The sequence below is a fragment of the Homo sapiens genome, chromosome X (assembly GCF_000001405.40).
Source record: "Homo sapiens chromosome X, GRCh38.p14 Primary Assembly".
In the NCBI taxonomy this organism is placed as follows: Eukaryota; Metazoa; Chordata; class Mammalia; order Primates; family Hominidae; genus Homo; species Homo sapiens.
Window position 1 is genome coordinate 129,563,774 of NC_000023.11, and position 22,954 is coordinate 129,586,727.

Here is a 22,954-nt window from a genome sequence, read left to right on the forward strand (position 1 = left end):
GAAGAAAACCTAGGCATTACCATTCAGGACATAGGCATGGGCAAGGACTTCATGTCTAAAACACCAAAAGCAATGGCAACAAAAGCCAAAATTGACAAATGGGATCTAATTCAACTAAAGAGCTTCTGCACAGCAAAAGAAACTACCATCAGAGTGAACAGGCAACCTACAAAATGGGAGAAAATTTTCGCAACCTACTCATCTGACAAAGGGCTAATATCCAGAATCTACAATGAACTCAAACAAATTTACAAGAAAAAAACAACCCCATCAAAAAGTGGGCAAAGGACATGAACAGACACTTCTCAAAAGAAGACATTTATGCAGCCAAAAAACACATGAAAAAATGCTCACCATCACTGGCCATCAGAGAAACGCAAATCAAAACCACAATGAGATACCATCTCACACCAGTTAGAATGGCAATCATTAAAAAGTCAGGAGACAACAGGTGCTGGAGAGGATGTGGAGAAATAGGAACACTTTTACACTGTTGGTGGGACTGTAAACTAGTTCAACCCTTGTGGAAGTCAGTGTGGCGATTCCTCAGGGATCTAGAACTAGAAATACCATTTGACCCAGCCATCCCATTACTGGGTATATACCCAAAGGACTATAAATCATGCTGCTATAAAGACATATGCACACGTATGTTTATCGCGGCACTATTCACAATAGCAAAGACTTGGAACCAAGCCAAATGTCCAACAATGATAGACTGGATTAAGAAAATGTGGCACATATACACCATGGAATACTATGCAGCCATAAAAAATGATGAGCTCATGTCCTTTGTAGGGACATGGATGAAATTGGAAATCATCATTCACAGTAAACTATCGCAAGAACAAAAAACCAAACACTGCATGTTCTCACTCATAGGTGGGAATTGAACAATGAGAACACATGGACACAGGAAGGGGAACATCACACTCTGGGGACTGTTGTGGGGTGGGGGGAGCGGGGAGGGATAGCTTTAGGAGATATACCTAATGCTAAATGACGAGTTAATGGGTGCAGCACACCAGCATGGCACATGTATACATATGTAACTAACCTGCACATTGTGCACATGTACCCTAAAACTTATAATAATAAAATAAAATTTAAAAAATTAATATAGAGAGTAGAGTCATTGGGGAAAGAGGAGGAAAGAGTAGGGATATTCAACTATTTTCCATAATGTCTCAATAATTAGGATCATGTAGAATTCTATTTCACAGTGGTAAAGTGAAGGCCTTAAAATGTATGGTCATGAAGTTGCCATGAAATTCCAAAAATTTATTTTCCCAGATTCCATAAATTTCATGTTGCATTTGAGATTGTCAGAATGACCCATTGGGAACTTGAGCTCACTCAACAGGAGAGTCCATTTTGATGTGTTAATTGCATTGTCTCCCTTTGTGGGGCTCTCAGCACATCTAAGGGCCTGTTGCTGTTATTGGGAGCTGAGGATCCCATGGAATGCCAGTCTCCTTCCTGCCTGTAACTTGGGCAATGGTAGACCAATCAGGCTTCACTAGAGAGCCCTGGACCTACTTTTCTTAGTGGGTCCTGCCTCGGAGAGCTGTCACTCAGACCATGCAGACTTCAGTGGAGAACCTGCAGGACTTCAGGACTCTGAGAGGCAGAAAACGTTCAGATTCTCTTCCCCTAAAGACCTGGCTAGCAGCCAGGCAAAATTTTGAAGCTTGTCCAGCAAATAAACTGCATGCTTCTCAGTCCATTAACTCCTTGGCTTCTAAATCCCATACGTAATATTTCCCAGTTTCATTCTTCATGTACAGAGTCCTCTTCTCCTACCTATTTTGTAATCCATTGTCTCTCTCAGGTGTTGATAGTAGTTGCCCTCAAAGGATTAGTTACAACTTTAAACCCCTTGTGAGATAGTGGTGAGTGAGCCCTTATCAATAATCTACCCATTTTTCTTCTCTCCATCCTTCTCTGTTTTTTTTATGCTAATCGCTACTTCTGTTCATACATTTTTTTGATCCTTAGGGTTGTCATTTGGTTGGGAGATTTGAATTATAGACTTTGCATGCCTGATGCCAATGAGGTGAAAAGTCTTATTAATAAGAAAGACCTTCAGAGACTCTTGAAATTCGACCAGGTAAGTAAAGTTTCATTTTATAGGAACTTTCCTAGATGGGAGATGAGATTGTTAGAGTTATGGGAGGTATATCTTACTCTAGGGAGTGATGGAAACGTCTTACTGTCTTGTGAAAACAGTGTGACTAGTGATGCATTGACTACATACAAGATTTGTAGTACTTTTATTAAGTGCTTGGATGGGAGGAGGGAAGATAACATTAGTGATAAAAAGTAAATACAACATTTATTCAAAACGTCTTTATCATTAAGAGATTTCAGAGATTTGTCTAAATGAGTTGGTGAATGGGTGGGGTTAATTGGGGAACACTTCCTGGAGGAAGTGGGCCTTCAGCTATGTTGATGTGGTTTGGCAGATGGAACAGTGAAAACTGTTCTATGATTACTTGGCAAGCTGAGGAACAGCTTGGAGGTAAAAGAGGGAGGCCCTGTGAGGGGAACTGGGAAGTACAGAAAAGAAGTTTGTCTGGGATCAACAGCATAGGCTATGGGCTCATGGGAACTAGATGATAAGTTGAAGCTAGCTGGTATTTAAAACCTGCAGGAAAAGCATTGAGTTGGTAACATTTACATAAAACCTGATATTCAAGAACCTGGTTTCCATATATTTGAAGCAGTAAATTTGCCTCAGAACCTGGCATGTGACTTGAATTTTTACTTCAACATATGGATACTGGCTGCTAAAAGTGAATGCTTCTTATTGAGGGAGGAAAATGTTTTGACTTCATTCGAATAATCTTTAAATCGTTATGAGAGCCTTTTCAACCTTCAGACGTAGCCAACATTCAGGTGATTTGCAGCAGAATGGTTTTTGTAGTGAGCCATTCTTGTCTATGTCTACCTTCACGTTGTGGTTGGCTGACAAATTTCTTTGCTTTTTCTTTATTCTGCCTCCAAAAGGGGTACATTTAGGATAAATTCTGAGTCTTATATAACTCTGGTAAAATATTTCAGTGAGGATCTTTCAAAACAATTTGAAACTATTCGCTGAATTTGGTTTGCAGAATTATTCATTCAACATTTGTGTGCTTTTTCTTTAAATTAAAATTGTGCTGGGTGGTTTCTGCCCAGCTCCAAGGAACTTACAATTATTCAGATTTCATTTTTCCATTTTACCCTCTGCCACTATTAGCAATAAAAGAATAGTGATGTGCTAATAACAAGCATCCTATCTGAGGGTGAGTTTAGATGCTGTGGGAATGCTGAGATTTAATTCATAAGGTATAGAAATTTCATTTATGTACTCTCACTACAGTTGTAAAGGTTGTGGAACTAGATACTTTGAAATAGGAACAGTGGCTTATCAACCTGATTATCTCTTATATTAAGATAGTGTTATCCTGCTTATTTGATGCTTCTTTCTATCTGTAGCTAAATATTCAGCGCACACAGAAAAAAGCTTTTGTTGACTTCAATGAAGGGGAAATCAAGTTCATCCCCACTTATAAGTATGACTCTAAAACAGACCGGTGGGATTCCAGGTAAAGTAATAAGAACCTTCTCACAGAGAAGGTTAAGGCTTGATCTTATTTCTGACCCTCCATATTGGTAAGGGGCTAGGAATTTTTTAGGCCATGCCATAAGCAGATATATAAACCTAATGGCTCAGTGCCTCAGTGCTATTATAGAACAATAAGAGTGTTTCATTTATCTATACTCAAAGGTGAGCCTATCTTAGGGAAGTTATTACTTATATGTCAAGATTGTTGAAGTTTTATGGGCTACCTACAGTGCCTTATTTCTCTCACCTCAGCAAACTTGCTTAAATTTTTGCCTTCCTGATTTTGCCTTTGTTTCTTACCTATTACCTGTTCTGGCTATTTTTTTTCCCAAACTACCCAGCTATTTAATTCAGGATACCAGAAGGCAAAAACGAAGCCATGAAGGGTTCTTCTAGCACCAGTAGCTCTCAATCCTTAAAAGACTTTAGAATCCCTTAGAGAACTTCAAAAAATACTGATGCTTGGACCTAATATCTGCCACAGCTGGAGAACACTGAGAACCACTGTTTAGTAGACCCTTTTTTTTTTTTTTTTTTTTTTGAGACGGAGTCTCGCTCTGTCGCCCAGGCCGGACTGCGGACTGCAGTGGCGCAATCTCGGCGCACTGCAAGCTCCGCTTCCCGGGTTCACGCCATTCTCCTGCCTCAGCCTCCCGAGTAGCTGGGACTACAGGCGCCCGCCACCACGCCCGGCTAATTTTTTGTATTTTTTTTAGTAGAGACGGGGTTTCACCTTGTTAGCCAGGATGGTCTCGATCTCCTGACCTCATGATCCACCCGCCTCGGCCTCCCAAAGTGCTGGGATTACAGGCGTGAGCCACCGCGCCCGGCCAGTAGACCCTTTTGATTTCCTAATCATCCTAGTAAAGTGCCCCCAGTAAGTTCTTAGTGAGTATTTGTCCTCTACCTACTATCTCTTTCTTTTCTTTTCCTTTCCTTTTTTCTTTTTCTTTTCTTCTTTTTCTTTCTGTTTCTCCTAGCTGGCTGAGCACAGAAACTTGAAAGAGAAAGAATCCCCACGCATGTTCAGCTGTTTTGAACTCTGAGAGTACTGGCATGGGTGGGGAGTCGATATTCCTATGCTCCTAGGTAACTGGCCAGCAAATGAAGTGACACTGTTAGATCTTGTACACTTTGCCATGTTTGTTTCACTCACCTGACTTTAGAGTCAGCTGCAGAGCTACTGATGAGAAATATCTGTGTCACCTTCTGGATCAGGGTACAAGGTGTTGCTTCTTTTAATAGAATGATGAATAGGTTCTTTTTCCCTACCCTTGGTATTCTGTGGACTGACATTTGCTCAGACTTGCATGGTTTGATTTTATTTCGTCTCTATTAGAAGAAGCTAGACTTGTCCATAAATGTCTGGTTTAAAGGAGAAATCAATACTGTTATTCCTCTCCAAAAATTAAGCCCAGTCTAGGAAGAGAAGATTGGAGTTTTAGACTTGATTAGTTATCTATCTGTTGTGAAGTGTTGTTGATGCTCATAGAGTAAAGGAAAAGGAAGTGTTCAAAATATAATCCAAATCTTCTGAGGATATTTTAAGAACGTGCTATTTTCTCCTGTGGTGACATTGTTGAAGATGTACTCCCAATCTTAACAGAACCATTCATTCATTAGATAACTATTCGTTGAGCACCTACTTTGCACCAGATACCATGCTAGGTTCTAGGAGTTCAGTGGCAAACAAGCAAATACAGTCCCTTCACAGAGCTTGCAAAATAGTAGGGAGGATGACAGGGGTTGTTAGGGAAGGAGAAGTACACGGTTCTTTGGGAGCATGTAACAAGAGAGCCTAACCCTGATCTAAACCAGTGTGGTAGGTATTATGTTCTTGTGTGATATGTTCTCTTTATAACTCGTTTCTTTACTTACAGTGGGAAATGCCGGGTTCCAGCCTGGTGTGACCGAATTCTTTGGAGAGGAACAAATGTTAATCAGCTTAATTATCGGAGTCACATGGAACTGAAAACCAGCGACCACAAGCCTGTTAGCGCCCTCTTCCATATTGGGGTAAACACTTGTTTGTACATTCATTTATTTGTGTGTTAAGTATCAATTACTAGAGGATTATTTAGACTCAGAACAGATCAGTAATTCAGCAAGCCATAAATGTTCCATAACCAAATAACCATTTGCAGCATTGAGAGGTTAGTGCCCCCAACCCTCCCAAATGCTGTCCGTATAGCTCTTAATGCTCCAGGCCTTTTAGTGACACAGATGTTTCTCATGCTACATAGTGGTTAGGTGGTAACTTGAGCTTCCTAAAGTAGGTATGCATAATGAAGAGTTAAAAGCTAAGTTTTATCAGATAGTAAAGAAGGGAAACACCAGGAGGGAGATTCTGGGTGGAAGGGTAGAGACAGCAGGAGCAAAGGCACAGACTGATCAGAATACAGCCAACTCTGTATATTGTCTTAAGGGATATAGTGTCATCCCTACACTTATTTTTTCTTTTTTTTTTTTTTTTTTTTTGAGACGGAGTCTTGCCCTATCCTCCGGGCTGGAGTGCAGTGGTGTGATCTTGGCTCACTGCAACCTCCTCTTCCCGGGTTCAAGCGATGCCCCTGCCTCAGCCTCCCAGAGTGCTGGGATTACAGGCGTGAGCCACCGTGCCCAGCGAATTTTTTTTTAACTCTGTTCTATCCTGGGCTGCATTAATGGCCAGTTATTTAATTTTCTGTCTGTATTGTGAGTAAAGTTTTTTTCCCATTGTATTTTTAAACTGTGTGTTATTGGTATGTAGGTCATATCTTGTAATCATGCTGATTTAATTTGTTACAGCCAGTACATTTAGGTTATTTCTTGTGGATTTTTCAGATCTACAGCCCTATAATCTGTCAGAATGTATATAGTGCAGTGCTTAGTAGAATGGACTTTGTAGTAGACTTCTGGGATTTGCATCCGAGTTCAACCACTTTCTAACTGTGTAACCATGGACAATTTATGTAACATATTTATGCCTCAGTTTCCTCCTCTATTAAGCGTGGGTAATATTGGTACATACTCATGAAGATTAATGAGTTCGGACATGTGAAGAGCATAATGGGATAGGTTTCTTTCCTCTGTGTGTGTGTTGATTTAGGGGGCTTCTGAGATAGATATCACCAACCTGTTTTATCCTGCTCCTGTTTTAAGGAAGAAAGACTTTGGGGCTTTTCATTTAAGATCAGAATTATTTATTGGTCTTAGAATAGATTTTAAATTTTATCAAGACAATCATGACTTTACTTTTGTCCATTTTGAAATTTTAAAATAATAATCATTAATAATAGTAACTGTTCCTCAGATAGCAGCTAGTGGCTGTGTGGCAGGGACTATGTGAGGCAATTTGCACACATCTCATTTACTCCTCACAACAACGCTTTGAGTTAAATACAGTTGATCCTTCAACAACATGGGTTTGAACTACACAGATCCACTTATATCCAGATATTTTCAACCAAATGCAGATGGAAAATACAGTATTCACAGGATGTGAAACCCACGTATAAGGAGGGCCAACTGTGGGACTTGAGTATGCGTGAATTTGATTATACACAGGCCATGCCAGAATCAATCCCCCACAGATCTCAAGGGACAACTGTATTTCCCATTTAACAGATGAGCAGATGGAGAACAGCAAGTTGAAATAACTTATTTAAGAGCATTCAACTAGGAGGAGAGCTGAGATTCCAATCTTAAGTTGGCTTAACTCCCAACTCTGTGCTCTTTCTACTACCCCACAATACCTCTATAATTCTATAGAACTTGATGAAATATACCTTTAGATAACTTCTTTTAGCCCATCTAATTTCTAGTTTGTACTTGCAGGCTGCCCCTTTTTCTTCATTTGAATTCTCTTAATCCATTTTGAGAGGGTATCTTTCCTCAAACACTAACCTCTTTGGTTAGATCAGGTATGCCTGGCTTTTTTGTTTACATTTCTTTTCAAAACCTTCAGATTTTTTTGTTTGTTTTTGTTTTTTGTTTTTTGGTTTTTTTTTTTTTTTTTTTGAGACAGAGTCTCGCTCTGTCACCCAGGTTGGAGTGCAGTGGCACGATCTTGGCTCACTGCAAGCTCCGCCTCCTGGGTTCACGCCATTCTCTTGCCTCAGCCTCCCGCCCAGCTAATTTTTTGTATTTTTAGTAGAGACGGGGTTTCACCATGTTAGCCAGGATGATCTCGATCTCCTGACCTTGTGGTCCACCCGCCTCAGCCTCCCAAAGTGCTGAGATTACAGGCATGAGCCACCGCTCGCAGCCAACCTTGGGATGTTTTTAATACTCCATACACATTAATGCAGAGCTTCTAGTGGGATATTTACATTTTTTTTCAGGCTTCCTGTGTATTTATGTATATCTTTAATAAAGATATGCCTTTTGAGTTTTTAATGATTTTTAAATTATACAGCAATGACAAGTGCTTTTAAAAAAATTAAAAGGAAATTTAAGCAGAATTGACAGATAAGGCAGAAGTTCTTCAATCCCTGTTCTGTCTCCTACTCCCAACTTTGCCTAAACCCCCATTCCCCAGCCAGGCCACTACCCTTAGGAGTTTATATCTTTCTAGACCAGTGCTGTCCAATAGAGCTTTCTGTGATGATGGAAATGTCCTGTATCTGTGCTGTCCAGTCCAGTGGCTTCTAGCAGCAGGGGGCTATTGAGTACTTGAAGTGTGGCTAGTGCAACTGAGAACTGAACTTCTAATTTAATTTAATTTAAAGTAATTTAAATTCAAATTCCCTATGTGGCTAGTCACTATTGTACTGGACAGTGCAGTTCTAGACCTTTGTATATGCTTTTTTGTTCACTCATAGACAAAATACTGATTTGTGTGTGTCTCTATATCATAAACGGTCTTATATGTATGTGTTGGTCTGCAACTTGATTTTTTTTTTTAACTCAGCAGTGTGTCTTGGAGAACCTCCCATCTTATTACATAAAGACCTAGCTCATTGTACTTTTTTTCAAATTCCTAATTTTGTCAGTAATTTCCTTTACTAAAATGGATGTGTCAGGTTGTGAAATTCTTTGGGGTTCCCCCCCTCCTCATTATCTTTGATTTGCCATTAAGTGCTGTGATCATGATAACCCGCTGAGAAAAAGTTTGATTTTATTGAGTAATCACCCCATGTTTTGGATTCTTGGGCATGCTATGATTAGAGGCTTTAAAAACCACACTATATTTTCACCACCATTGGCACCAATGACTGTTAACAAAGGAGCCAAGTGCACCGTGGCCAATTAATTTCAGAAGACTTTCTGTGGGCTGGCTGAGATAGAGCTAGGATAGGGTTCCAACCCTGCACTTGGTACTGTGATCTGTTGCATTGGTTCTCAGACTTCAGTGGATGTAAGAATTGCTTAGAGAGCTTTAAAAAAAGTGTGGATGCATGTGTCCTCACCCCTAGAGGCTGTGATTAGTAGACCCAGGCAGCTGTGCTTTTAAGACATACTCAAGTTGATTCTGTCACATATCTAGTATATTGGAAAGAGTCTTAAACTAGTCCAGATGTCACCTTTGGTATTCACTGTAGCAGTGAGCAAGTTTGTTGATTGTTTTGTATCTTAATGTTCTCAACTATCGGAACAAAAATATTCCTTGCTTTGGTAGCCTTCCAGGTTGTGAAAATAAAAAGACATGTGCAAAATACTTTTGGAAATTAAAAGTTGCAAAGTTTTGTAAAAGTATAAAATTCATCTTAAACTAATGCTATACTATGGACCCTGGTGATGGTAAAGTGATTGTTTGATCCTCGGTTCTCTAAGAGTTACAGTTCAAATATGTGAAAAACTTCCCCAGTCTGAGATACTTGACTCAGCTTTGATGTTCTTATTTTCAACATTTTAAAAAATTTTTATTTCACTTCAAGTTGTGGGATACAAGTGCAGAACGTATAGGCTTGTTACATAGGTATGTGTGCCATGTTGGTTTGCTGCACCTATCAACCCATCATCTAGGTTTTAAGCCCCACGTGCATTAGCTATTTAACCTTAATGCTCTCCTTCCCCTCGCCCCACTACCCCGAGTGGCCTGGTGTGTGTTGTTCCCCTCCCTGTGTCCATGTGTTCTCATTCTTCAACTCCCACCTATAAGTGAGAATATGCGGTGCTTGGTTTTCTGTTCCTGTGTTAGTTTGCTAAGGATGATGGCTTCCAGCTTCATCCATGTCCCTGCAAAGGACATGACTTTTTTTATTTTTTGAGGTGGAGTCTTGCTCTGTTGCCCAGGCTGGAGTGCAGTGGTGCAATCTTGGCTCACTTCAACCTCCGCCTCCCGGGCTCAAGGGATTCTCCTGCCTCAGCCTCCCAAGTGACTGGGATTACAGGCACCCACCACCATGCCTGGCTAATTTTTTTTTTGTACTTTTAGTAGAGACAGAGTTTCACCGTGTTGGCTGGGGTGGTTTCGAACTCCTGACCTCTAGTGATCCTCCTGCCTCGGCCTCCCGCAGTGCTAGGATTACAGGTGTGAGCCACTGTGCCCAGCCTGATCTCATTCCTTTTTATGGCTGTATAGTATTCCATGGTGTATATTTACCACATTTTCTTTATCAAGTCTTATTATTAATGGGCATTTGGGTTGGTTCCATGTCTTTGCTATTGTAAGTAGTGCTGCAGTAAACATATGTGTGCATGTGTCTTTATAGTAGAATGATTTATATTCTTTTGGGTATATACCCAGTAATGGGATTGCTGGGTCAAATGGTATTTCTGGTTCTAGATCCTTGAGGAATCGCCACACTGTCTTGCACAATGGTTGAACTAATTTACACTCCTACCAACAGTGTAAAAGCGTTCCTACTTCTCCACAGCCTCACCAGCATCTGTTTCCACATCTTTTTAGAACCTTTGCTGCATGTATCAATTTTTTTTGACATGAATTTTTGTGAAATTTCCTAGTCTAAAAAAGAAACCGATATCTCAAGTTAAAATCTGTTAGTTATGTTAATTTTGGCATTGGTTTGTATGAAGTTTTAATATTTAAAAAAACACAGCTATATCAGGAAGCTGAAAGTGCTGTGTCAGGTGGAAAATTTTTTTATCAGTGGAGATGTGTTTATACGTTGTCATGGTTTTACTCTAGTCTAGGACATTTTGTTTCAGCCATTTTCTAAAATGGCTGTAGGTTCCATTTATTAATATATCTCTGCTATTATGTAATCTGAGCAGTGATATTATACTTCTTGGTATTGTACATAGAATCTAATAGAGTTAAAAGCTTTTTAATAATATTTGCTGCCACCTCACCAAGTTATGATTGTTAGAAACAGTAATTGCTGTGTTTTGACACTGTCATTTTGTACAGTGCAAGCAATCATTTTTACCACAATTATCACATTTTTTCCACTACCAAATAACTTAACAATGAAGCAAGAAAATATTCTTCCCAAATATTTATTATTACCAAGCTTCTTAACGTAGGGGTTTAACTTTTACAGGACGTTAGCCAATTAATCTTACCTTTACCTTAAAGCGTGTGCTTCTATAATGCTTTGTTCAATTTATGTTTGCTTTAGTGACCTTAAAAATTGTTAGAGACTCTTGGAGGTATAAAAGTTGAGAACACATAAAACTAAAGCAAGGATCTGTTTTCTTTCAGGTGCAAGCTGTGGATGAAGCAAGATATAGAGAGTGTTTGAGGATGTTGTTTGCACCACAGTTTATTTTAAATAGTTACTGTAATGACCAGTTTTAAATTGTTAGATAATCTCCAAGGGAGATGAGCTAGAAGGATATAAGACTGAAAAGAGGATACATTTTCTTTCAGGTGAAGGTTGTGGATGAACGAAGGTACCGGAAAGTCTTTGAAGATAGTGTACGCATCATGGACAGAATGGAAAATGACTTCCTTCCTTCCTTAGAACTCAGCAGGAGGGAGGTGAGCAAAAATACATGATCTCCCTGTCTACTGCTCACTGTGGTTAGCACAGAAGAAACTGCTACTTAGAAAAGGCTACATAGCAACGTGGTTAAGCCCATGTCGCTGGAGTCAGACTGCCTCCATTCCAGTTGTAGCACGGCTGTTTAGTAGATGTATGACCTCAGGCAAGTATCTTACCCGCTCAGAGCCGCAGTTTCCTTTCCTGGATTAAGGGGTAGTTGTAAGGATTACATGAGTTAATACATGCAAAGCTCTCAGAACAGCACCCGGCACATAGTAAGCCCTCCGCTGTTAGATGCTCTTATTTAATATTTCAGAGTTGCTAGTTAATTTATATCTCAGAAACCAGGACTTGGTCACAGGATGAATACTCTGAACCAAGGTTGGGTTACCCTCTTAGGATCCTAGGAATGATCAGAGTAGCCTGGAGAAGTAGCAAGAGCCACCTAACTCCTTCTCTGCTGGTGTGAGTATAATAATACATGCAAGTGGATGTTGTGAAGTTGGTTCAGTTGGTGAATGTCTATGGCATTTGCACACCTGCTTAACAATTACCTTACTCCTCATATCCTCTATGGAATAATCCAACTGACTTACTTCCCCTACTAGTGATGCATGTTTGTGTCTGTCTGTTATTCCCCAGTTTGTGTTTGAAAATGTGAAGTTTCGGCAACTACAAAAGGAGAAGTTCCAGATCAGCAACAATGGACAGGTTCCCTGCCATTTTTCTTTCATCCCTAAACTTAATGACAGCCAGTACTGCAAGCCATGGCTTCGGGCTGAACCTTTTGAGGGCTACTTGGAGCCAAGTGAGTTTTCCCTTTACCATTGTCTCTGCTGGTGATGTCATGACTCCCATCCCCTTGGTTTAACTTTCTGTTTTCTAACCACATGTCTCTTACCTTTACTGTCATATTGGTGATACCTCTGGTGTGTGTCCTGTCTCTTCCCCCTCATTGCTTAATGATTTTTTTAGAGGACACTTTTCTGTTGGTTCTTATACTCTTTTTTGCTTTCCCACTGGAGGTTTTCCTATTACCATGTATCATCTCTTACATTTCAGATGAGACAGTGGACATTTCTCTTGATGTGTATGTCAGCAAAGACTCTGTAACCATCCTGAACTCGGGAGAAGATAAGATTGAAGATATTCTCGTCCTTCACCTGGATCGAGGCAAAGATTACTTCTTGACTATCAGTGGAAATTACCTCCCAAGTTGTTTTGGCACATCCTTAGAGGCTCTGTGCCGTATGAAAAGACCAATCCGAGAAGTTCCTGTTACCAAACTCATAGACTTGGTAAGAACTGTCCCAAGACATAAACCTCTTTTACATTTAATTTTCACAATACTTAAGTGACGTCCTCATTATCTTTGTGCTTTCTGTCTTCTTTTGGCCACGGGGGATGTCAAATGATAAAGAAGAATGTTACTTTAGCACTGTTTTGATTAGATTAAGCCTAAGGGGAAAGAGGGGGGACTAATCTGCAGTTGGCTCTTGTTGTGAGTACAATACATAATACTAAGCTCACCAAATAAGATTAAAGACTCCCCTCTCAAAGATATAATGCTTGTTTGTTAAGCTCTTCATACTCTCAAGTCACTTTTGTATAAATTAGCATGTACGTGAGGTATGCTAAGTGGGGCAGGCAGAATTATCCTCATTTGAGCATATGAGAAAACTGAGGCACAGAGACATTGACGTGCCCAGAGTCAAATACCATCAGTTAGTAACAAATCTAGCACCCAGATTTCCTGGCTCCCAGTTTAGTATTCCTCACTAATACCACATTATATCTAATCAGAGTAAAACTTTGCTATTTATGGAAGCATAGAACTATCCTGGAACCCTGGAGTACCTGAATCAGAATCCCTGGGGGTGCTTATTACAGGTACCCTCACTTCTGGCAATGGAATCAGAATCTCAGGATATGGAGCCTACAGATCTGCATTTTATCCGCATTCCAGATGCTTATAATGTACATTGAAATTTGATACTTACTTAATGTGATGTGCTTAAGAAAGAAAAGGAGGTTGATTTTCCCACCTCTCCCTCAAGCCAAGCTATAATATTAATGTTTTTATGAAGGAAGTACTTACTATCTTCAGTAACATAAGTTGATTTAGTAATAAAGTTCATTGTATTAAGAAATTTCCTTCTAAATGAAAATATTGTTGGATTGTATGCAGAATCTCTTTGGGCTACAAAAGTATATTCTTGGTTTTTTTACCAAAGAAAATTAGGTGAGGTGACAGCATACGTTATCCTTACCATTAGTATTCACATGGATCCTTTAGGCCTAGCCAGAGCGAGTGATTGTATCTAGCAGGGAGGTCTAGACCAGCAGGCAGGCTGCTGGCTTGTCTGAGTCCGATCTGTTCTGTTGCCATGGAATTGTTTTAGCTGTGACTCAGATAGCAGATTAAAACACTGAGTCCAGCCCCGGCATTCTTTCTTGGAATTATACTTATTTCCCCAGAGCCCTCATGACTGAGTATATTACCTCTGTTTGAGAGAGAACCATTTTCTTCAGAAATTCATATCCTACCGTTCTGCTGTTTTTCATGATAATTGTTTTTCTCCTAACATTATATTTCTGTCTTTTAGATTTTAGTATTTCACCTTTTAGAATACATTTTGGATGATGAAGTTGTTTTTCTTATTTCTCCTACCCCCTTTCCTTCATCTCAGACATTATTTCCCAGCTTTCTTTGTTTCAGCTTTTTATTATGAAAAATGTCAAATGTGCAGAAAAATGGAAAGAACAGTACAACACACCCCCACATGCCTTCTGTACATATATACACACAGATGTTTTTTGCTGTGTCATGTAAAATTTAGTGGTAATATGTCACTTCACCACTGAACACTTCAGCCTGCATCTCTTAACAAAAAGGGCACACTTAAGCACAATACCATTATTATGTATAAGAAAACTAACAGTAATCCATAGTATCATTTAACATTCGGTCCATATTCAGATTTCTTCAGTTGTCCCAAGAATTTCTGTTATACCTTTTTTTAAACCAAAATCCAATCTGGGTTCATATAGTATTTGGTGAGGTCTCTGAAGTCTCTATTGGAGTAGTACAGTTCCTACTTTCTTTAGTGACATTGACTTTTTTAAGAGTCCAGTACAAATGTCCAGTCAAGGGTCAACCATTTCCTAAATTTTTCTGGTTGTTTCCTTCTTGTTTTTTTTTTTTTTAAACTTATCCCATTTATACTCTCTCCTTCCACCTTCATGTAAACAGGAACCTACCCTTATTTTTAGTCAGAGTCAGTGAAGATATTAGAATATCTTTGCCATTAATATGAAAAACTGCAAAGCCATTAATATGAAAAACTTTGCAGTTTTTCATATTCTGGGATTGGCCAGAAGAGGCTCAACCCTCATAAAGTTTTTATTTTATGTAAAGTATACTATCAGGTAATTTTACCATGTTTGCCCATGAACAGAAAGGAACCAAAATCATTAGAGGAATGAATGGCTCTTTGGGAAGCCTTTTTCCTTCTTTTTGTGCACAAGTGATTGAGGGTTAAAATAATAGAACCCTGATCATTTTTAATTACAGAATTTCTGAGTTTTTATTAAATTGTATGTGTGTGGACATCATTTTTCTTTTAAAGCTTTTATTTTGTAGGATTTAGGGTTCTTTTCACAGTCTGTTGCATTTCAGTGTTATTAAATTCCTGTATCTCATTGATGAGGAAATTATCTATACAGGTTGATTATCCATTATCCAAAATGCTTGGGACCAAAAGTGTTTCAGATTTCAATCTTTTTCAGATTTTCAAATATATGCATTATATACTTACCAGTTCAGCTTCCCTAATCTGGAAATCGGAAATCTGAAATGCTTCAATGAGCATTTCCTTTGATCATCATGACAGTACTCAAAAAGTTTCGAGTTTTGGAGCATTTTGGATTTCTGGATTGGGAATACTCAACCTGCATTACTGTGGAGCAGTAAACAAGAAATCTAAAAACAATTAGTATCCCATCTTTAATACCTTCTCACTCTGTTGTGACTTGATTTTGACCTTCTGAAATGATTCCTCAGGTATAGTATTCATGTTTTTTTTCCCCAAGACCCAATATCGTATTTCAAATCTCATGAGATGATGCTGTTAATAATGGTACCTGCCCTCTGTTGTATTATTTGCTCTAAAATTTTGGTAAAGCCAGAAACGAGTTCAATGTATGTGTTGTCTCTCTATGTACTGTTTTAGAAAGATCCTTATGCACTGTTTTAGAAAGATCCTTATGCCACACCATCTTCCCACCAAATGCAGAATGAAATAACTGACATAATTATTTTTCATCCTTCCAGCCCTTTTCATAATAGTGACTTTGCCACTCCTAGAATAGTTGAGATTAGCACAAGTGGGAAACGGATGAAAATCTACCATTTGTAATCATCTTTATTGTTTTTCAGAATTAAGATAGATTTTTCTGTTATATTAACTAGAATATTAAGTAGCAAATAATCCTCAATATTGATTCATTACACACTGGATACAAAGTATTATGGAGTTTATGTGAGTTCCCATAATTTAGTGGTGATGAAAGTATATTTGCACATAAAATATGGCTAAACTTTAAGTCATGGTTAATAGGGAGTTTGGTTAAAGATAATCTGAACATTAACCACCTTTACTGGCTAATGTCTGGTGTGCTTGGTAAGTCAGTATTTTGGAAAGTCGTTTAAAGTGACTGCTATGAAGGTTGTAGTTTGTATTAACAATAGGTTCCTTTCCTATGTTGTTTATTCAAGCCCTTATATGCTATAAAAGCTTATTGACTGACCAGCTAATCCCTATAGAAATCAGAATCAGCCTGTTTTCATTTTAATGAATATTTGATACATGTAACATTAACATGACTGAGAAATAAGTTTAGCACATAAGAATAAAGTGAACTAGGAAGGTGATTTGGAGTTAGTTATAGAAGTATTTTCAGTCAAGTCCAAGTACTTAAGAAACACTTATTAATATAGTGGGTGAGCAGGCTCTTCCAGGCTTAGAGGACATCTTGAATAAAGGGTAGAAGGTGAAAGTGAAAAGACCATGTATGAAAAACTGTAAGATTTCCCTGGGACAAGTGAAGATCAAGGATAAGAATGTATGAAGCTGGTTAGGGAGAATGGGGCAGGTGGTAGAGAGTCTTGAAGTCAATAGATAAGTTTATGCATGAGCCAGAGGGTATCTAGAACCATCAGAAGGGTTTGCTGATTAGTATGAGGTTGCAAATTGATATAGTTGGAAGAACATTCTGGTGTTACTTGTAGAATGGACTAATTGAAAGGAGACAAGACTTGAACTTGCCAGATGTGGCTAAGTTGTAAATACGGAGATGAAAAAAGTTGAGGGATGGGTAGAGAAACTATATTTGCTTGGGGACATATCTGTTGGGAGAACAATATCAAAAGTTTGAAATAACAGGAATAACTTGTTAATTTGTCCGTAGTGTTTTTTTCACTATGTTTTTACTTTGTCTTACTAATCTAACCATCCATTTCTTACTCTGTTAAGTATATGGCTTGTATTTCTTCTCTATTTCATATGAACTAATCCTTTTTAGAACTTCATTTTCCATTCAGTTTTCGGCTATTTATTTATTTATTTTTGAGATGGAGTCTTACCCTGTCGGCCAGGCTGTAGTGCAGTGGCACAATCTTGGCTCACTGCAACCTCCATCTCCCAGTTCAAGTGACTCTCCTGCCTCAGCCTCCCGAGTAACTGGGACTACAGGCGCGCGCCACCACGCCTGGCTAATTTTTGCCTTTTTAGTAGAGATGGGGTTTTACTGTGTTGGCCAGGCTGGTCTTGAACACCTGACCTCAGGTGATCCACCCGCCTCAGCTTCCCAAGGTGCTGGGATTACAGGCGTGAGCCACCGTGCCCGGCTATGCTTTTTATTTTTAAATTTGCATCTTCCACCTCTAATTGACTCTTTTATTTTAGCTGCATTTACCACGGGGAACAGTCTTCTGAGGGTGAATGTTGGGGTAAAGAATGATTTGCATTGCATTTGCTATGTGCCAGTGTTGTCCCACTGGGGAAATCCTGAACTAAGTTCTCTTTTTAAATGTAATCCATATATAGCCTTTTGCAGAGAATGGGCATCTCTGCTCTTTAAAATTGGTTGAACTAAGTGATTCATAGTAGAAACCTTAGGATTATTATAGGAGTAAGCTGTTTACTAATAAAGGTTAAGTGATGCTTCTGTTTTCAAAATTGAGACCAAGGTTGAATTCAATGTAATTTCTATGTTGTTTCTTTGTGCCTGTACCTAGAGAAGTAAATCTCTTGTCCCTCCATCAGTATTTAATCAAAGTCCTTTTGATTCTTCTTTCAGAATTTTCTCTTGTATTCATTCATTTGTAAGTGTATGTATATACCTTTTATTATATATATATATCCTTTAATATATATACTTAGAAATTATATATATATATATACACACACCTGTGTGTGTGTGTGTGTGTGTGTGTGTATAAAATTTTCCATTATTAAGATGTTTACCTTCTTCTGCTTGACCTACCTCGGTAGCCTTTGAATGATCCCTTTGTCTTTCTCTCTCTCTCTCTCTCTCTCTCTCTCTCTCTCTGTCTCTGTCTCTGCCCTTCATTTTTTCCTATTCAGGGCTGTCAGATTGATCTTTCTGTACTACTGCTTTGGGGCCTATCACTTCCTTGCTTAAAGGTAGTCAGTGGCTTCCCCATGCCTGCTGAATACAATCCAAATGCCTTAATCTGTCATGCAAGGTCCTCCTAAGTCTGACTTCAACATACCTTTTCAGATTTATTTCACACTATTTTTCTTGGCATTCTCCATGCCCCCCACAAACAGATGACTAACTTCTTCCTAATATCAATTTGTGATTTACTGTCTCTGTGCCTTTTGTTTATTTCTGCCTCTTCCACTTGTAATATTCTCTCCCCATCTCTACCCTTTAAAATTCTGTGAGTCTTTTAAAGGGCTAGCAATGATTTATTGAGAACTCGTATTCATGAATTATAACAATACCAGTCTGTAAACTCTGGAACTCCTCACCCCAACTCAGTTGCAAATCAGAGTCAGGGACAAACCAGGTCTTTCTCCTTTATCCTCATTTCTCATTGCCTTCCCCTGCAAAGGCATTTTAGCACAATGCCTTGTACTGGAGGATGGCTGCTGCTTAAAGAAAACTTTTTTGAGAGCCTGGTTCGACAGGTTAGTATACAAAATCTCTGTCTAGTTTTATTCATATCATGTATTAGATATTCATGGGAGGAAAAATATAAAATGTGTCAGATAGATTCTTCATTTGATAACAAGTCCTAAATTTTACAAGAGGTTCTAGTCTAAAATTGTATCAGATGTTGGGCACTCAAAATCAACTTGACATTAAAAGGTATCGTAATTATAGTACTATAAATATGTACCTTATAAAGACTATTCTAATTGCTTTATTTCATGTGATATTTAAGAGTCTAGATAAACCCACAAAAGCATGTTTAATTCGTGAAGTATCTACCAATATTAAAACGCCTAATCCCCATGGATAACAGTAGTGTGGGAGGAATGCATTCAGTATTACCACTAGGAATGCCAGGGAGCACATACTTTTCCTCCTCCCTCTCCACTCCCAGCTCCTGTGCATCTCAGACAGTAAGATTGGGATTTCTCCTTTTACCTAGCAGAACTAAGACATGTAATTTAGACTTGAGTGCTTAGTGGTCCATAGTCAGATTCGAAACAATCCAGGTTGGGAGTCACTGGGGAGGTATGAGGAACTTTGAGGAACCCAGACCTTCTGCTGGCATACTGCCCCATCACCCATTGGTTTTAGGCTGCTTCAAGGTAAATATTACTATCCCTATTTTAGAGATGAAGAAACTGAGGCTCTATGAAGTTTGGTAACTTGTGTGAGGGCTATACAAAATTGCCAAGAGGTGGAACGAAGATTTGTACCCAAGCCTGTCCAACACCAGTGCCTATACTCTTTCCATTAACCACGCTGTCTTTTAAGTGGGGTTTCTCACTGTCCTTAGCCTGTTATGGAGAATACATTCTCACAGTTTTCCTCTACCTCTCTGTCCAGGAAGCAGTCACATTGTCCTTTTTGAATTGTCTAACGGAACATAGTGATAATGACTGTGGAGTTGGTCAGACCTGGGATCCAATCCTGATTCAGCCACTTACTACCTAATAGTGAGTGTGGCCTTGGGCAAATAATTTAAGCTTTCAGAGCCTCAGTTTCTTCATCTGTAAAATGGGAATAATATCTACTTTGCACATGTGTACAGATTAAATGACTGTATATAAGCACTTTGCACAGTTCCTGATACATGACAGATGCTCCCTAAGTGGTGGTGGTAGTTATCATGGCTGCTATTATTATTGGATTGTAATAACAGCATAAAAGATAGGAAGATTAAAAAGATACCTTCTTACCTATCCCCTGCCTCTCTTTTTTTCTCTTATGCCCAATAGGAAAATAAAAATGGGATAATGATGGATCTTCTGATCCGCAAAGGTCTGAAATGAAATTCATTTATAGTTCAGAAGGACCTTCAAATCTGGGCACTCTGGGGGCCTTTGAGGAGGGGATTGGGTACGAGGAGATAGAAAGGAATCTGGGATGCTGCTTAGGAGACTGGCTGGGGTGAGAAGAATGAAAATGGAAAGTAGAGTGGTTTACCATCTCCTTCCAGATGGCCACTGTTGGGCCCACAGCCATATTCTTTCATTGAGGTATATACCTCAATGCACCTGCCTCCAAGCAGCAGACAGGAAGAGACATCAGGGGCATTTGGCTGGGTCAGTTGGCAGATGCCAAAGGGCACTGAAGTCTAGAACTGCACATATTTCTTGAGTGATATTCTCAAACTGCACAAAAATTTAAAATGTATAGTAAACTTTGTGTATGAAAAATGTATTTCATTTTCAACAATCATAATTTATTTGAAGAATTCAAAGCTGTTTAAAGCATGTATATCTGGTAAGATAGTGAGTTCTAATACTGATCTGTTTCTAATTCTGTAAATTAATTCTAATCATATTCTGTCTGTCAATGACTTTCTTTTCCTGCTCCGCTCTCAGGAAGAAGACAGCTTCCTAGAAAAGGTAATGCAATCCATTGGTGGTTATGAGAGTTTCCCTGTGCTTGATTAACACTTAACTGTGGTCCCTGGAATTTGTCCCTAGGCTTTCCCATATCAGAGACCTCTGACTTGGTGAGACTCCCCTAAAGTCCTGCCGGCTGTCCTTAAGTGTGTTTGAAGTACAGGAAAGATATTTACTGTAGCAGTCAAGTCATTGAGACTCAGTACATAAAAACAGTAGGACTCAAGGTTCTAGATTTGTATTTTTGAAATGAGAAGTAACTACAGAGCCGTCTTGATGTATCTGAATGCTCATGAATTGGAGGGGGGTACCAGTTAGCTGTCCTCCATTTCCAATGACAATAAAACCTGAAGAAGTAGCTTTCTGTTGCATTAAAAATGATTTGAGGTTAATGATCATAGCAATTAATTTCAGAAAAAAATACACAGATATGATCAAGAAATAGAGCATAGAATAGAACCGTGGACCTGAACAAGATCATAAAAGATCATCTGGTTCAGGCCTCTACCTTCAGACAGGGTATTTTCTCCATTCTAATAGATGAGACAACCAAGGCCCAGAAAGGTTGAAAAACTTGCTGAAGTCATGCACTGTACCCACTTGGTGGAATTTAATGCCTTTTGATGATGGGGATGGTATACTGTTTTCATGCTTTAGTTATTAACACTAAGTAAGGTTACAGAGTGTGGGCTTATCAGGCGCTGAATGTGTCTTGTTGAAAGAAGACAAAGTACCTTGGTTTTCCTTTGAAAATTAGAGTTCAGGATAATTTGTGAAATTATTCAAGTATTTTCTGTGTATGATCTTTCTCTAGACTTTGGAGACACAACTGTGGCATTCCATATTATCATACAGGAATTTGAAAATGAATAGTGGATGGTGTATATAATCTACTGACACTTTATTAACCTTTTTAAACCACCAAGGTTTGAGACAGCTGTGCTTCCTAGCTCTTCCCTGTTAAGAGCAGTCCATGTTCTGTCTTTTTATCTTAGGCAGTGCCTTGTGTTGCCTTAATGCCTTAGTACAGGAAAAGCTCCAGTTGGATGTCAGACTTTTTAAAAAGTACATGAATCAGTGCTGCATAATTTCTATATGGCAAGTTTGGAGGCATCTGCTAAAGAATCAGTACACGTGCTGCATTTGGTCCAGAGAGTTAGCAGAGTGCATGATGGACAGTGTTTTGTCTCAAATACCATGTGGATGCTTGGATTTGATATTTGTAACTGGAAAGAAGTAAATGGATGAGCCATTGATAGACATTCTGGCAACTATTAGGAACATGAATATCAAGTGATAGAATCCCAGGGAAAGAAAGGAAGCAAACTGAATGTGGGGAAAAAAAAGAAAGATTTTAAATGGTAACCAACTGTCACACTCCCTTCTCTTTCTTATTCCCTTGGAAAGGCACAGCAGCTTTTAAAGGTCATCAGTGCTTGTTAAAGAACACAATGTTAAGAAGAGACCTCAGCTCGGCTGTAGTGTATGTGGTCTCTGTCAAAGTAGTGACATGCTCCTTTTTTTTTCTTTTAAAGCTACGTGACTGGGGGTTGTGGATGGAATTCACAAGTTGCACAATGTTAGGCAAGAATTTCTTAGTTAAACATACAGAATATATATGACCTCAAGCTAGAGGCGGGGGAGGGAGGAGGATGCAAAAAAATTGGTCATGGTTCTCTCCACTGGGATTTTTATGAAGGGTGCCTTCAGGTGCCTTTACTATTTCAAACATTTTTTCATGTAATTTATATTTGATTACATGAACCTAAGATAACTGAGTTTATTTCCTAGCCATTTCCAATTCACATATAGTGATTGATTTGATTTATGTCACTTCTGGGTTTTTCTCTTACAAAATTCTTTCAGAAGAATATAACAGATAGTAGAAAGATAGATGAAAGGAGTAAAAGCCCCTAGAAATCTTGGCTGAGCTATTCCTAGAAACTGTAACTTCTGGACTCAGACCTTAAACTTTTCGTGGTATTTCTGCCTCTTGGTTAGCTGTATTCAGTTTACTATTTTTGGACCTTAAGGCTTACGAGTTTTAGCACCTTAAGATTAGAACTTCCATCAAGCCTGAAGTATTTACATATGTGGGTCTAATGTTGTGGAGAGTTGTCTTTAATTCCTGAAAACTAAAGAAGCTAATTTAAATCAACATTGAAAACAAACAACAGTATCTGTGGTAAGACCTGAAGGAAGAGTAAGTTAGAAATAAACAAAAACCTAAGTGTAGACCTTGATCTCTCAAACTACTGTATTGACAATTGTAATTTAATAGTCCCCAAGTCACCAGTGCTGTATGGACTCCACTGTGACTGTATCACCGGAGCACTGGTTCTCAGTGTCACCTTTGAAAG

General features: G+C 38.8%; 1 protein-coding gene across 3 annotated transcripts in view, besides 1 other annotated feature; it reads left to right on the plus strand.

Annotated features, from left to right (window-relative positions):
• The window catches only part of OCRL (OCRL inositol polyphosphate-5-phosphatase), a 52,298-nt gene that overhangs the window by 23,515 nt on the left and 5,829 nt on the right, over positions 1 to 22,954 (plus strand). For 2 of the 3 annotated variants that reach the window (NM_001318784.2, NM_000276.4), the window contains exons 13-19: positions 1,999 to 2,110; positions 3,481 to 3,590; positions 5,491 to 5,626; positions 11,367 to 11,477; positions 12,124 to 12,289; positions 12,544 to 12,779; positions 20,571 to 20,594. In NM_001318784.2, the coding sequence (NP_001305713.1) occupies positions 1,999 to 2,110; positions 3,481 to 3,590; positions 5,491 to 5,626; positions 11,367 to 11,477; positions 12,124 to 12,289; positions 12,544 to 12,779; positions 20,571 to 20,594 (895 nt within the window). The remainder of the gene's footprint in view (positions 1 to 1,998; positions 2,111 to 3,480; positions 3,591 to 5,490; positions 5,627 to 11,366; positions 11,478 to 12,123; positions 12,290 to 12,543; positions 12,780 to 20,570; positions 20,595 to 22,954) is intronic. The other variant, NM_001587.4, reaches the window with a different exon arrangement.
• Positions 1,133 to 1,634: an enhancer, noted in NCBI's record as "NANOG hESC enhancer chrX:128698883-128699384 (GRCh37/hg19 assembly coordinates)". NCBI's record gives its function as "activates a minimal SCP1, AML or CMV promoter by ChIP-STARR-seq in naive H9 embryonic stem cells {active_cell/tissue: H9 hESC(naive)}" and the evidence as "EXISTENCE:reporter gene assay evidence [ECO:0000049][PMID:30033119]".